Here is a 16,237-nt window from a genome sequence, read left to right on the forward strand (position 1 = left end):
TCATTCATTAACTCAACACACATTGAGTGCCCACTAGGGTCAAGTATGAGGCCCCATCTTGGCAATGGATTTTAGAGACCACAGACAAGCAAGGGTCTGTGGAGAAGTCTTTCCATCTGTAGTTTCCAAGGAGTCCTGAGACTTGGAATCCACTGCTGTGTTTGAAGGGTTTGCGCTGGGTTGAGGAGGAGAGTTTACCTGGACTATGCTTGTACGGAGGTGTATGGCAACAACATAATATCGAGACAAAAGCAGAGCCAGAATTGCTAACCACAGGCCAAGAAAACCAATGACATATCTAGGGGAAACTGGAAATATTTACTCCCAAGTATTAACAGTGATTACCATGAAGTGTTGTAATTAGGAGCAGCTTTAAATTTTTTTTTTTTTTTTTTTTTTTACTTTTTTTTTTGGAGACAGAGTCTCGCCCTGTCACCCAGGCTGGAGTGCAATGGCGTGATCTCGGCCCACTGCAACCTCTGCCTCCCGGGTTCAAATGATCCTCTTGCCTCAGCCTCCCGACTAGCTGGGATTACAGGCACGTGCCACCACGCCAGCTATTTTTTATGTGTTTTTAGTAGAGACGGGGTTTCACCATGTTGGGCAGGCTGGTCTGGAACTCCTGAGCTTGTGATCCATCCGCCTCAGCCTCCCAAAGTGCTGGGATTACAGATGTGAGCCACCACGCCCGGCCACTTAATTTTTTTTTTTTAATGAACATGTGTAGCTTTTGTGATCAGAGGAAGATAAAACAGCTATGTTTTATCAATACCTCTATGCTTATTAAATACCTCAATGTTCTATTTTTTAAAAAATGATGGTCAAGACACCGGTCTAAGTGACAAAATCATTTCAGCCTCAGGAAGCTTCCAGGGAAAATAGGAAATAGACAAACGATTTGATATTTAGTTTTTAAATAGTATAAAAAGAGACTACAGATGAAAGATTTGGAGCTCTCACCTGAAATCTTATGGGAGTGATTATACATGGCGATGCCAAAGGGCAGGCTGCCACGGTGGACACTTAAAACAGTTTTCTCCCCAACACTGGGCATGTGCCCTAACGCGACATACGAGCTTATAAATATCTACGTTTGCATTTATAAGCTAGACAACTTTAATTACTTTTTTCAGTTATAGCTCTTTCTGTGAAGTCTTACTTCAGTTGACAGCTGAAGTCACCTCAAGTGGGAGGTGTGGCCTCATGTGCCCACTCATGGGCCACACATGCTTGGCCTTCTGACTCCGCACTAGTGTAAACCATCTACACCCTTACATTGGATCCAAGAGCCAACATTGCTCTGTTAACAGCCCACCTCTCCCAGTCTTTGGCCAATAAGCACCAGAGAGAAAGTCACAGTCTCAGAGATGGACGGGCACTGACTTGTTCTCTGACCTCATCAGGCTCCTCACACAGCCTTGCATGACAGCTTATCCTCCATTCCTTGGCAGCAGCCTGAAACCCTCAAACTTGAATACAGCGCCCAGCTCTCCTTTTCCTACTCTGTTTTTAACAAACCGCATCTTCTTCTTTTTCTCGAAGAAACGAGCAGTCTTTGGGCAGAACTCACTCACCTTCCTGCATCCCCCTCTATCAATTGGTCTGTGTCCCCCACTCTCCCCACCGGGGAAGGGACGTCTCAGCACCTCCTGTGCCTGTCCCCTGGGCCACTCCCTCTCACTCCCGTCTCTGCAGGCCCTCACTGCTTCTCTTCACTCTGTGTCTCCAGCCACTCCCTCTACTTGCCTCTTTCCTGCAAGCATTAAAGGTGCTCAAGCCTCCTCCATCTGAAACAAACTCTCCTTCAAGTCCGTGTCCTCCCCTGGTCCTTTCTTCCTTTGCCCTATTCTTTCTGTTTGAGACCTGGTGAGTTTGAAGTGACTGAGAAGGGTCACAGTGGATATATCTAGTAGGATTTGGATATGCGAGTCTGAAGTTTTGGAAGGCTACCTGGGCTAACGGCATGGAATTAGGCATGGAATTAGGGCATGGAATTAACTAGCAAACAAAAGATGATCATCAAAAATGCGAGAGTGAAGGTGATGGCCCAGGGATGTGGTTTAGAGACCAGAGGTCTAAGGTAGTGAAACCCCTCAGGTGCCACAACTTTATGAAGCTTGAAGCCACCTACCCCAGAAGAACTTTCTTAAATCTTTAAAAATTATAACAACAAATATTGAGCAATAAATATGTACCAGTCATTGTTCTAAATGCTTCATAATTTTCACAAACAACAGGTATATATTATCAATGACTTCACTTTACTGAAGAGGAAAATGTGGCTCATAAACGTTGTGTAACTTTGGAAGAGTTGCAGCTAAGCAAATAATGAAACCTGGCCAGGCATGGTGGCTCATGCCTGTAATCCCAGCACTTTTGGAGGCTAAGGCGGGCAGATCACTTGAACTTAGGAGTTAGAGACCATCCTGGGCAACATGGTGAAATCCTGTCTCTACAAAAAAAAGCAAAAAACAAAAATTAGCCAGGCGTGGTGGTGTGTGCCTGTAGTCCTAGCTACCTGGGACTATAGGCGCCTCCCTGAGCCTGGGAGGGGGAGGTTGCAGTGAGCCGAGCCACGGCACTCCAGCCTGGGTGATACAGTGTCAAAATAATAATAATAATAATAATGTCTCAAAATAATAATAATAATGAAACCCATGTCATGGCATTCTAAAATCGGCTTGTGTTCCATATTCTATAAAATAACTTCTTGACAGGGAGCAGATTAGATGATATGAGAGATCAAGAGAGTTTTTACTTAATTTGTGTGTACACATACATAGAGTTAATGATAAAAAATGCTTTATAAATAATTGCTTATAAGGATTAATTTGCCCAAGAACTTCATCAATATACAAACTATAAAGGATCATGAAATTATTTTAAAAATTATTCACAAATTTATTTAGCAACTATTTATTGAGTGTTTTCATAAGTCAGGTCTGATGCTGAATAGCACAAATATAAAGATGGGCTAGAGGCAGCCCCAGATCTCTGGGGGCTCCCTGTCTTGTGAGGGATACAGCTGTGCACATACTGACTGCAATGAGGAAAAAGCCACGAAAGAAGTCACTAGAAGACAAGCAGCCTCGTGCTTGGGCTCCAGAGTCAGGCGGATTGAGCCTTTGTTGTTTTATTCCAACAGAAAAGGAACACTAAGTCTCATTGCATTGTTGCAGAGATTACAGGGGATGGTATGCACAGACTCCCAAAGGCAATCCATGAATGGCAGTGGACACTTTAGGATGATCATGAAAATAATGGTTAGTATTATTAAGTCAGTGTAAACACAATTGTGGTTTTTGCCATTGAAAGTAATGGCAAAAACCACAATTACGTTTGCACCAACCTAATATTTACCAACTCTTCCCAGAGAGAGAGTTAAGTAAGCCTTCTTGGAAAAGGTAATGTTTAGATTGAGGCTAAAAAGTTAGAAGGAAGTTTGCCAAGCAAACTAGGAGGCTAGTTCATCCCAGACAGCAAAGACAAAATGTACAGGATGGCAAAAATGAGAAAGAACATTCCACGTACAGGGACCTCAGGCAGTCCAACTTGCTCAGAGTGCAGGGAGTTGCAGAGGGGTTGGGGAAATGGACTGACCATGAAGAAAATTGCTTAGGAATTTGGATTTTTATCCTTTAAATCAGTGAACTTCAAAGTAAAGTGCATGCCCTCCTAAAAGTTAACAAAATGATTCACTGGTTTACTGAAAGTAAGATTAGAACTTCTGTGAGTACTTCAACACATTTTTACCTTTTTAATGTTTACATTTTGCCTGTTTTAAGATGAACACACTGATTTTGCATAGCAGTACATTTATGCAATTTATAAATAAATATGCATATTTTGGGGTGAATTCTAAAAACTTTTATGCAGATAAGAGTGTGTGAACAAAAATGTAGAAAGCCACTGAGGAGTTCCAAGTGGGAAAATGATGTGAACAGTTTTGGGCTCATGGTGAATCTGTCTGAGAGTAGGGAGGAGCACAGACAGAATGTGGCAGAAAACAAAGGCAAGGCCAGCCAGGAAGTGGCTGCTATAGGCCAAGCAGTGTTTCCAAATTCCCAATAGATTAGTCTTTGGGATTTGTGAACAAAACTGTGGAACTCCCTGGAATTGTCATGAATTCCTCAAATCACAAGCTATTCTGTCATTTTCAAAACATTTTATTTACCTGTTTTTGAATAATAATGAGTAAGCATAATAATATAGGTAAATTATTTTTTCTGGGATGGGTTATACACTAAATATTTTAATTTTCTGCTAAAAACAGATATAATAATAAACAGCTTTAAAAATTGGACCAATATATTGTGACAAGATTATATATTTCAATAACATGTAAAAATGTTCTCTATCTGATAATAAAACATTATAAGCTGAGAATATTAACATGCAACAAATCGCTGTTAAAATCACTTAAAATTTTTAAAATACTGGCTGGGCACAGTGGCTCATAATCCCAGTACTTTGGGAGGCTGAGGCGGCTGGATTACCTGAGGTCAGGAGTTTGAAACCACCCTGGCAAACACGGTGAAACCCGTCTCTACTAAAAAAATACAAAAATTAGCCAGGCATGGTGGCACACACCTGTAATCCCAGCTACTCAGGAGGCTGAGGCAGGAGAATCGCTTGAACCTGGGAGGTGGAGATTGCAGTGAGCCGAGATCATGCCACTGCACTCCAACCTGAGCAACAGAGTAAGACTCCGTATCCCCACCAAAAAAAAATTTTTAAATACCATATTTAATATTTAAAAGTTATTAATTCTTAAAATGGAAATGTTAAATATACCAAACACCAATTGTCCTACTTAATAGCCTCAGTTTTTTTTTTCATGACAAACATTCCAAATGTAGAAAAAATTTCTTTCATTTCACATTGACATTGGTTAATTAAGACTGCACCAAACAGCATCTTGAAGTTGGATATTAGGGCAGTTGCTGCTTCATTTAAGTTTAATCTTTTTTAATCCAACGAAAGGATTTTTTTCATTGCAATGAAAATATTTTGTTTACTTGCCCTGATTTTGGTTTTGTTATTGAAATTTATAATTTATATTGCTTTGCTAATTCAGATTTTTTATCCATTTCTAATTTCCCAATGAAGCATTCCAAAACAATATTCATAGCTTCTTTTCTTCGCATTTCTTCTGTTAAAGTATTTATAAACAACTATAGCTTACAGCAAATGTTCAAACACTGGAAAACATCAGGAAATACAAGTGAGTAGTATTCAAATAACCTAACATTTGGATCTCCTAGCAAGGTTAACACTACTAGACAGAATCAAGTTTCAAAATTGCCAATTTAAAGACTTATTCTACATTCATAATGTATTATTTCTTGGAATCCCCCTCATAAGGTTTATGTAAAGTGAACCATAGGTATACATTTCTTAATATTTATTATGATTTGCAAGAATCCTTGCTTGCAGCAGATAGGACCATAGTACACTCTTGGAACACAGCAACTGCTACGAGCCAGACTGTTGGATTAGATGAGGATGACGTCCCTCCTCCACACTCCCATTCCCATTTCCCAAAATGTTGACCTTAACCTTTGACTCTCTTGTAGGGGTTTCCTGCTCTTAATGTCAATGGATTCCCTTGAAACAGTAATGATCTCTTTGTTGATTATTAAGCTTCAATCATCACAGAATTATAATACTTTTTTCCATTGTCTCAATTTCTTCACTGATTTTTCTCAAGATTTGCAAAAACCAATTTTGCAGTCAATCCTGAGAAAGAATTACTTCATGGGTACACTAAATCCAAGTGTAAAGTCACAAAGAACTAAGCTAGAGCAGCAGTAGTGGGTTACAGAGGAGGGGTGGATTGGGGTGTTCTTCTGAAAGTAGAGACAAGAGCCTGTAGTATCTCCTAAGGGATGTGAAGAGTGAGAGACAGAGGAGATTGTTCTAGAATGACTAAAAAAAAAAAAGATTTCTGGCTGGGTGTGGTGGCTCACACCTGTAATCCAGCACTTTGGGAGGCCGAGACGGGTGGATCACTTGAGGCCAGGAGTTTGAGACCAGCCTGGCCAACATGGCAAAACCCTGTCTCTTTTAAAAATACAAAAATTAGTTGGGAGTGGTGGTGTATGCCTGTAATCCCAGCTACTTGGGAGGCTGAGGCATAAGAATCACTTTAGCCTGGGAGACGGAGGTTGCAGTAAGCCAAGACAGTGGCACTGCACTCCAGCCTGGGTGACAGGGCGAGACTCTGTCTCTAAATAAATAAATAAATAAACAATTTCTGTACAGACAGGCCTGTCTATCGTAGGCAGTGCTAAAGGGAAATGTGATTAATTCATGTTCAGGTTTTCTATTGGCTAGGTAACCAACCATCCAAAAACTTAGTGTCTTTCATTAGGAAAATGCAAATCAAAACCACAGTGAAATACCAAATGATACCCATTAGGATTGCTATTTATAAAACAAAACAAAAAACAACCAAAAACACCCTCAGACAATAACAAGTGTTGGCAAGGATGTGGAGCAATTGGAACACTTATGCATTGCTGTGAGAATGTAAAATGGTGCAGGCAATTCCTCAAAAATTTCAAAGTAGAATTACTATAGGATGCAGTAATTCTGCTCTGGGATATACCCAAAAGAATCTAAAGCAGAGTCTTGAACAGATATTTATACACTAATGTTCACAGCAGCATTATTTATAACAGCCTAAAGATGGAAGCAACCATCAATAAATGAATGGTAAGCCAGTCACAAAAGGACAAATATTGTATGATTCCACGTACATGAGATACCTGGAGTAATCAAATTCACAGAAAGTAGAATGGTGGTTGCCAGGGACTGGAGAGAGGAGGGAATGGGGAGTTAGTGTTTAATGAGTACAGTTTCTCAATTTAGGATGAGGAAAGGGGTCGAGATGGATGGTGGTGATAATTGCACAACAGTGCAAATGAACTCAAGGCGACAGAATTGTACACTTAAAAAATAGTTTTGCCCACGATGATCCTGAGTGATGAGCAGGAATTTAACGATGCTGCTTCTGTTCCCAGTATAGAGTCTTCCCAGAGTGACAGCAGGAATGCCAAGCATGGGTCTTGTCCAGGTCTGTCCTGCTCTGGCTATGCAAGGTGGGCGAGCCACTTCCCCACTCTGGCCTTAGTTTCCTCTTCTGGTGAACAAAGGGAGAAGAGTGGAGGGTTCCCCAGGTTCCCTCAGCACTCATTTTTTCTGCTTTTCCATGGGACAGGCTACTATGAGGCTCCTGACTCACCTGGATTTGAACCCCAGACCTGCCGGCTCCCTGCTGGTGATTTTGGGAGTCACTCTCATGTGTGGTGGTTGATGCTGGCTGTCTGCTAGGGTCTTTGCTGGGGCTGTCATCTGCTCCACCTATGCAGAGCCTCCTTGGATGCAGGACCTGGGCTGTCTTAGAGCTTGAGCATCCTGGTAGAACAAGATGGAAGTGCATGATGCTTTTATGACCTAGCCTTGGTCACCTCTGCCATGTTCCAGTGGTCAAGGCAGTTATATTGTAAGAAAAACATGTGGGATATATTCTAGTAGGCCATTTACAAGTCATTCTTTTCTCTTCTATTTTCTTTATCCATGAAGGGCTTGAAGAAGTCAGAGAGAATCTGAGTCTTTCCCAGATCATAAGTTATCACAAGTGTAACACTGGAGACCATTCCTATTTTGTATGTATTTCAGTGTGCCTGTTTTATTTAAACAGCTGCTGCTGGTGGTAACACGTACATAAGACTGAAACACAGCAAAAGGACAAAGCAGCTTAGAATTTCCACAGTTGGAACAGACAGAAGACATTTGACACATCCACATCGTTCCATATGCTGAGACCCAAGACCTGCTGTCAGTAATCTCAAAATCATTGCAAAATGCTCTCTCATCCTACACCCATATCTGTGATCAGGATTCTGGAATGGACATTTTCTCCTCCCTCTTTTATTTTTATCTAACCATTTTTATAGATCTTCAGTAAATTTCTTTCAGGAAAATAAGATCACTGTTAAAATCATGATTTTGGCTGGCTGATGAAATTTTCCAGATTATCTTCTTTAAAAGACTACAGAAACATGATTTTACTTTCTCTTTTCATTTAGCTTAAAATTAAAAGTCAATTTTTTAAAATCATTGATCCTAACTACTTTTCCAGCATCCTAACACTGGTCACAAGATGCACAGATTGAGAAAATAAAATCACGCCTTCCAAAAGAAAGCCAGCCAAGTTTTGCCGCCTTCTTTAAAAAAGTACATCACCCACGAGCCTGATGAGATGGCAAATGCACAGCTTGAGTTGGTTCTAAGAAAAATGCCTCAGAAGATTCATTCTAAAAGTGTACTCTGACCTTACTAAGCAAGACTACAAAGTCACAGTGATACCTAACGACATCAAAATAGTAGCTGATATGAATATCTTCCTTTGATGTAATTAAGAAATACACCAACCAGTGACACTCAACACAGAGTTCTTTCCAGGTTAGGGTGAACTTGGAATTAAACTGTTGTTAGAAGAACTGTCAAGACAGTTTCATTTCTTACTCAAGTAAAACACTGAGGGAACAACTACAAATTAGAAGATACAAAGCCGTAAGGAATATTTGCTTCCAAGGAGAGAGTCAAAGAGATACAATCTCCTTACTAAAAGAAGGAAACTGATAACTGCAACTATAAACTATAACTGCTGATGATCCTTTTAACACTTCTTATACATTTTTTTAGTCATTCAAGTAATGTATAAATATATTCTTATAAAAAAGTATTAGTTGAGCCCAGAGGTTCAAGACCAGCATGGGCATCATGATGAGACTTTGTCTCTACAAAAACTTAAAAAATTAGCCAGGTGTGGTTGCACACACCTATAGTCCCAGCTACTTGAGAGGCTGAGGTGGGAGGATCACTTGAGCCCAGGAGGCTGAAGTTGCAGTGAACCACGATTGTACCACTGCACGATCACCCTGGGCTACAGAGTGAGACCCTGACTTATAAACAAACAAACAAACAGACAAACAAAGTATAAAGCCAAAGAAAACCTCTCTTTCCCGGTTCTTCCATCAATGCTCACCCCACTCCAGGTAACTTACTGCTGTTATTTCTATGCATTGTACACACATACCTATGCATTTACTTGATTGTATACATACCTAAAGAACATGATTGCTTTGTTTTATTGTCCATAAGTGGAACCAGCTTGCTTCCTTACACTTTACAATGTCTTGGTCCATTTTAGTACTTGCTAGAATTTCATAGCATGAATCATAGTTTATGTGGGCCTTACTGACTGATATTTACAATATCATTGGTCATGGTTTTTTGTTTTTGTTTTTTGAGATGGCGTCTAGCTCCGTCACCCAGGCTGGAGTGCAGTGACACGATCACGTCTCACTGCTGCCTCAACCTCCTGGGCTCAAGTGATCCTCCCATCTCAGCCTCCTGAGTAGCTGGGACTACAGTTGCATGTCACCATTCCTGGCTATTTTTTTTTTTTAATGTTTGTAGAGATAGGGTCTGTGTTGTCCAGGCTGGTCTTGAACTCCTGGGTTCAAGTGATCCACCTGCCTCAGCCTCTCAAGGTGCTGGGATTACAGGTGTGAGCCACTGTGCCCGGCTGTCATGCTTTTTGTGTACAAGTGTGAGAACTTCTCTAGGATACATAGTTACAAGTTGAATTACTGGAATGAGGCTATCTATATTTTTAATTTTAATTAATGTTGTCAAGTTACCTTCCAAAAAAAAAAAAAACTGTGATCAATTTACACCTCCAACCTACAGTATAGAAATGTATCTGTTCCCTGTCCCCCTGCCAACAGCCTGGCAGATTTTATTACTTTTCCCTAAGTATTAGTGAGGTTGAGCTTTTTCTATCTCTTGTTTTGCCATTTGTTTTTGCTGTACAGTGAATCGCTTCTTCCTATCTTTTGCCGATTTCTTACTTGGGTTATTTGACCCTTCTTTTCATTTTAAAAATTGATCCTAGTTGCTCAAGATATTTAGAGGAATTTCTAAAATTCTGGAAGGCAGGAAATCATATCTTCATCCTTTTGTATTCCTTTGGACTTACAACTGTGCTAACTTATTTTTGTAACATTTACAAAATTAAAGATGGGTTTTGCTTAAGCCACAACTACATACAAGATTGCAAAGTGGCAAATACACACAAAATAGGCATAGTAACTACACTAAAAGTTGATGTCTTGGAAAGGACTAGTCTAGCAATGTGTAGAAATATCTGGTCAGGGAATAAAAAAGATTTGGATACATTTTTATTAAGAAATTGGCATATCCTTTTTCATTAGAAATTCAAGCAGGAACAAGAAAAAAAAAACTGAAAGAATCTGTGTTCAAGGACAGACTCACAGATTGATTTGCACCATCAGGAAGCTCCTGGGTGAATGGACTTGAGCCCACTGGAAGGGTTTTAATTCTTGGTTGTCAAGACAACTGTATTCCAACAGACTGTGTCAGCAGAATTCTTCAACAATCCTCACCTTCCCGCTGCTTACAAAGGTCTGTTAATGTCTCCTTACTCAATAGACCAAGCTTTTGCATTGCCGTCTGATTAGGAGGCGAGAAACAGGACTCTGCTCTGAGAACAACCCCTCCATCTCCCAGAGTCACCTTCCTGCACTCCTGATGTGCCTCACTCAGCCTCCCTTCCTGCTCATTGCCCCCAATGCCCTCTTCCTCCTGCTCTGGCATCTCTACATTCCAAAAGCCTTCCTTGACCTTTCCAACCCAATCAATTTTCTATTCCAGCCCCACTAATCATTGAAGATTATGTTCACGCTCTGAAGCACTGCTGGCGAGAGGACCGATTGGTAGAGTCGTTCTGGAAGGCATGTCCCCTTCTCCGGAGTAATTTGGCAAAATGCTTCAAAACTCTTATGGGTATATCATTTGAGCTGTGAAGTTACTGTAAGGACATAATGCACTAAGATATATATAACCAAAAAGAGAATATGGGAAAAGGGGGTGGGGTAAGACGACAATGAGAGGTCTCGCCACAAGATGGTGTCTTAGTTTTTCTCTGTTTAGCTTTTACCTTGAACCAGGGCAGGAAGGAAATAATACCAAAATGTTGATAATCTTGGATATTGGGATTTGGGGTGATTTTTAGAACAATTACACTGTGCATTTTCATGTTTTCCAAATTTTCTTCAATGAAAATATAAAAATATAAATTGCTTTATGATCAGAAAACATATTAAAAACCACCAACAAATAAATTCAAACAGGAAAAAAAGAGGAGGAGGAAACGTATAGATGAAAAGAGAGTTAAGAAATATATCAACGTGACTTACTTGGCTCCAGACTTGAACAAATTAACTATAGAAAACATTTGTAAGATAATCAGGTTAATGTGACCATTGACTGGATACTTGATGACATGAAGAAATTATTGTTTAGTTATGATAATCAGATTATAGTTTTAATATTAAAAAAGAGTTCTTATCCTTTCATGATATATACCTAAATATTTGCAAATGAAATAATACTATGTGTAAGATTTGCTTCAAAATGATCTGGTGGCGTAGGGGGAGGTAGGTGAGTATAGAGGAAACAAGATTGACTACTCAAGTAGGATGGTGAGTACATGAGGATTCATGATAGTATTCTATTTTTGTATATGTTGGAAATTTTCAGTAACAAAACGTTTTAAAAGATAGTAACAATGAATAGCATACAGCCCCATGAAGCATAGCAGGAATAGGTAAGGGTGGCATTGAGGCAGGAGGCTGCGCTTGGAAATTAATTCCCCAAAAGTCAATTTATTCATATATTTCTTTGCCTCTGGCTTCTGACTGTCACTCTCCAACTTCTGGTGCCTCTCATGCTTTGCACCTCAAATTTGAAGCAATTTCATCCCCTGATTCTCAACCCTCTTGCTTCTGTCAAAGGCTTATAAATGATTTTTCTGTCTTGGCTAAGAGCCCCTTGGCTTGATGATCTGGAAAAATATTCCCCTTGGCAGGGCCTGGGGATCCCCATCCTCCCATCCTTCTCTAACTTCAGAAGAAACCCTTTCTAGACATAGTCAAGACCCACAGGATCTGCTCCCTCAGTGCTAAAAGCGTGAAATCAATGTCTCTTGTCCAGGACTTCTGGCAGTGGAATGTTTGTCCCAGCGGCTTCTCAATTCTCTTGCTATGTTGGTGTTATGGCTAATACATATCTGTGTTACCATCCAAAGGAGAATGTCCGCCTTTTAAAGGTAGGCGTTAGTTCTTCAAATATAAATATTGTGTCCAGGAATTCTTGGGCTTACCCGATGGTCTTAGTACAAGCGTAGCCATACACTGGGTACATGTTGTTCCATCATCCAGCCTAAATGACCCAAAGTTCTCATATTAATTTGCACTGATAACAGAAGTAAGCAATATGTTTTCCTTATATACATTTTTTTTAGTGTTTCATTCCTTTGAAAAATAATTACAAATCACAGATGGGATAGGAGTGAGAGCAAGATCTTTGCATCTCACTTCCTGGGCTTTGATAAATATGCTATATTACCAGCAATGTTAATCTTTAAATTGTTCATAAAGACCCATGTTTCTTGCTAAATATATTGAATTCTCCATTTATAAATATTTTTACGTGTGACTTTTTCAAAATATCTGCAGTATCAGTTTGAGTTGGACTATAGTTCTACACGTGGAGCCAAACTCCTATGGAAGATGGGCGGCCTCTTCCACAGGGCACTGTGATCAACACCAGGAAGGTCCAGGTCCCAAGGGCCTGTCTCATGCCTGGATTACCACTGACTTCATGGTCAGTGGTCTAGTCCCTCCTAAAATATTTTCCGCAGTAGCAGCCCGAATGATCTCTGCAGAATATAGGGGTTGGTAAACAGGTCTATACCGGTTAAGTGTATTAAAAAATATATTCACCGTAACTTTTCCTATTCCCAACCTCCTCTCCCCTCTCAATCTATATAGTTTGGATAGGACTGACTCCCATTTAGTGGCTTCAAGTGTCCACATGCAAACCAAGCTGGGCCAATCACAGTTAATAGAGAAAATTTTCTGGGACCATTGGAAAAGGGGCTCTTTTTCTTGTGAACTGTGCCTCAGATGGACTGTAAATGCAGTTTTAGGAAAAATCTTAGCTCAAGTCTCTTAAGGCCAATATGTCTTTTCCATTCAGGAACCTCACTATTTGTTACTGGAAAAAAATGAGATTTCCATTATTTTTGTGGCCACAAAGAAAAATTATAATCATAAAATTTCAGCTGTGGCTACTGCCAGTGACCAGGCTGCTGAGGTTATTAAAGCCATTTTTCTATCTTAAATGAATATAAGAAATTGTAGGCAGTTTGGGAAGAAAACTACAATCTAATATGTTTCCAGGGATCTTGAAGGAGCATCCTAACTATGTATTAAGGATGCACAGCCTTGAATACAGGGTCATCTAAAGGTTATGTGGCAGGGAACAAAGATATTTCAGACAGGACTGAGGTTGCTACTGAGGTGCAAGGAGGAACGTAAGCTAAAAAAGCAAGCAACAATTTAGTTTCTCTGTTGGTCTTCCATATTGGGCATCAAACAAAATGGTACCCCTTGGGAAACTGCCAATTTCATGAACACTTTTTGGATGACCATGAGGCCGAATCATTCTTCACTGTCTGGCTCTGCTTCTGGATTTGGTTAGCAAAATGATAAGATTAGAACGGGCCAGCCCTTACTTAGCAAAGTTGTGTCATCTCCCTTTGGGAGCATTTCAATCAAGAGATACATATTGATAACCCACTGTGTGCAAAGTACTTTGTTTTCCTGCTGCTTCTTTCTCCCTCTTTCCCTGCCTGCTCCCTCTTCCTCCTCCTCCACCTCCTTCTTTTTTAATATCCTTATAGCATAGGAAGGATCATGCCAGACTCTTTGGACCACCTCAGAGCCACAATGGTGACAGCACTATTCTTGGCACTTGAACAGAGAAGAAAGGGAGACTGAATGCAAATTGATTCCAAATTAGGCTTCTGTAGTGACTAAATATACTTCTCTGTCTTAGGTACTAGATTTGGGTCTGAGTTGCCTGGGGCTGATGCAGTTAACTCCACTGTTATCCTGCTAGTCAGTTGTCCTAGTCTGTTTTGTGCTTCTGTAACAGAATATCTGAAGCTGGGTAACTTATTTTAAAAGGAGGTTTATTTGGCTCACAATTCTGGTGGCTGGGAAGTTCAAGATAGGGGCAGCTGCAGCTGGTGAGGGCCTCAGGCTGCTTCAACTCATGGCAGAAAGTGGAAGGGGAGCTGGCATGTGCAAAGTAATCACATGGGGAGAGAGGAAGCAAAAGAGAGAAACTGAGGGAGCCAGACTCTTGTTAACAATCCATTCTCAAGGGAACTAATCACTTACCCATGTCGGGGGGCATTTATCTATTCATGAGGGATCTGCTCCCATCACCCAAACACCTCACACTAGGCCCCAACTCCCAACATTACCACCTGGGGGATCAAATTTCAACATGAGTTTGGGTGGGGACAAACCATATCCAAACCAATCCACAACATCAGTGAACAGATACTTGAGTGTCTTTTACATATATCCATCCCCAGACATTTAACAGAGGCACTGGGGATAGACAAATAATGGCACTCCTTACTCTTTAGGAAATAATAGTCTAATGGGAACAAAATGAATCATTAAATTATTCCAAGGGCTCAAATATCTTTGGATAACTCCAGGTTGCTATGGAGGCACTTAACAGGGAAGGTAGCCTTATCTGGAAAGGCAAAGAAGGCAATTCTGGGGAAGCAATGTTTAAACTGAAGGATGTGTAGGAATTAGCCAGAAGGCATCTAGGGGAGTGCCCTCCTTTCTTACTTGCCATCACTTTCTCCCCTAATATTAAGTTAATACCCTGTCCCTATTTATTGACGAGTATGGCCCTGACTCTAGCTGACACTATTCACAATGGAGAAGCAATATGTGAGAATGCAGCTCAAAGTCCCGGCTTAAATACTGACAAACTGCCCATCCTTGTGGTAAAACTCCTCTGGGCAACCAGTGGTTCTCCGAGGCTCCTCAGTTTGTTTATCTGGATTGTGCATGGATGGCAGGTTGTGGGTGACAACTCAACTCCAGTAAGTCAATCTTGCTTCCTCAGGCTGCACAAGGATCTCCTTTGCAGATCAAGCCCTGGCATCACCAGAGTTCAGGAGGCCCAGGCACAACTCCATCCTTCTTGCAATTCCACTTTGACCAAATTTAGTTTGAGTTGTGTTTCTGTCGCTTGCAACCAAGAGTCCTAATGCAATCATGTTACTGAAAGTTTGTATATCCAATATATATATATTTTGTATAGTATATGTTTTGAATCTAAATTTTAGGCTACGTTTTTTAATTGAAATAAAAATAAATCTTAAAGAAGCTACCTACGTAAAAATGAACTTCCAATCATGGTAATATAATTTACAAATATTTTATTAAAGCTCTTAAGAGCAGCTTTTCTAAATTTTTGGAATTAGAAATGTATGTTCTTGAGCCTTTTCACATTGTTTATAAGTAGGCAATTCTCAGTTATACATTTTGGTGCAGCCTGGCATCAAAGTATAGGAGAGAAAGCGTGGAAAGTCCTACCTGGAGAAATGATAAAGACACATGGCATTTTTGGATAGAGATCCAATGTGTGAGTGGGCTCAGGTGGGCCCCCTTGTGTTTATCAGAAGTTCAGGCAGTAGCCCTTAGGACGGAAGTGGAATTCTGTTCCTATTGCTGAGACAGAGCCCAACAGCAGAATAAGGAATTATGTTGTATTAGTTTGCTAGGACTGCCCTAAGAGAAGACCACAGACTGGGTCGTTTAAACAACCGAAATGTATATTCTTAGAGTTCTGGAGGCCAGAAGTCCAAGATCCAGGTTTGGGCAGGTTTGGCTTCTTCTGAGGGCTGTCTCCTTGGCTTGTAGAGGGCCATCTTCTTGCTGTGTTCTCACATGGTCTTTCCTTTGTGCATGGGCATGTCTGTGTCCAAATTTCCTTTTCTTTTTTTTTATTTTATTTTATGGAGACGGAGTCTCGCTCTGTCTCCCAGGCTGGAGTGCAGTGGCCCGATCTTGGCTCACTGCAACCTCCGCCTCCTGGGTTCAAGCAATTCTCCTACCTTAGCCTCCCGAGTAGCTGGGACTACAGGTGCACGCTGCCACGCCTGGCTAATTTTTTGTATTTTTAGTAGAGACGGGTTTTCACCATGTTGCCCAGGCTGGTCTGGAACTCCTGAGCTCAGGCAATCCACCCACCTCGGCCTCCCAAG

This window comes from Homo sapiens, chromosome 7 (assembly GCF_000001405.40).
Source record: "Homo sapiens chromosome 7, GRCh38.p14 Primary Assembly".
Classification (NCBI taxonomy): Eukaryota; Metazoa; Chordata; class Mammalia; order Primates; family Hominidae; genus Homo; species Homo sapiens.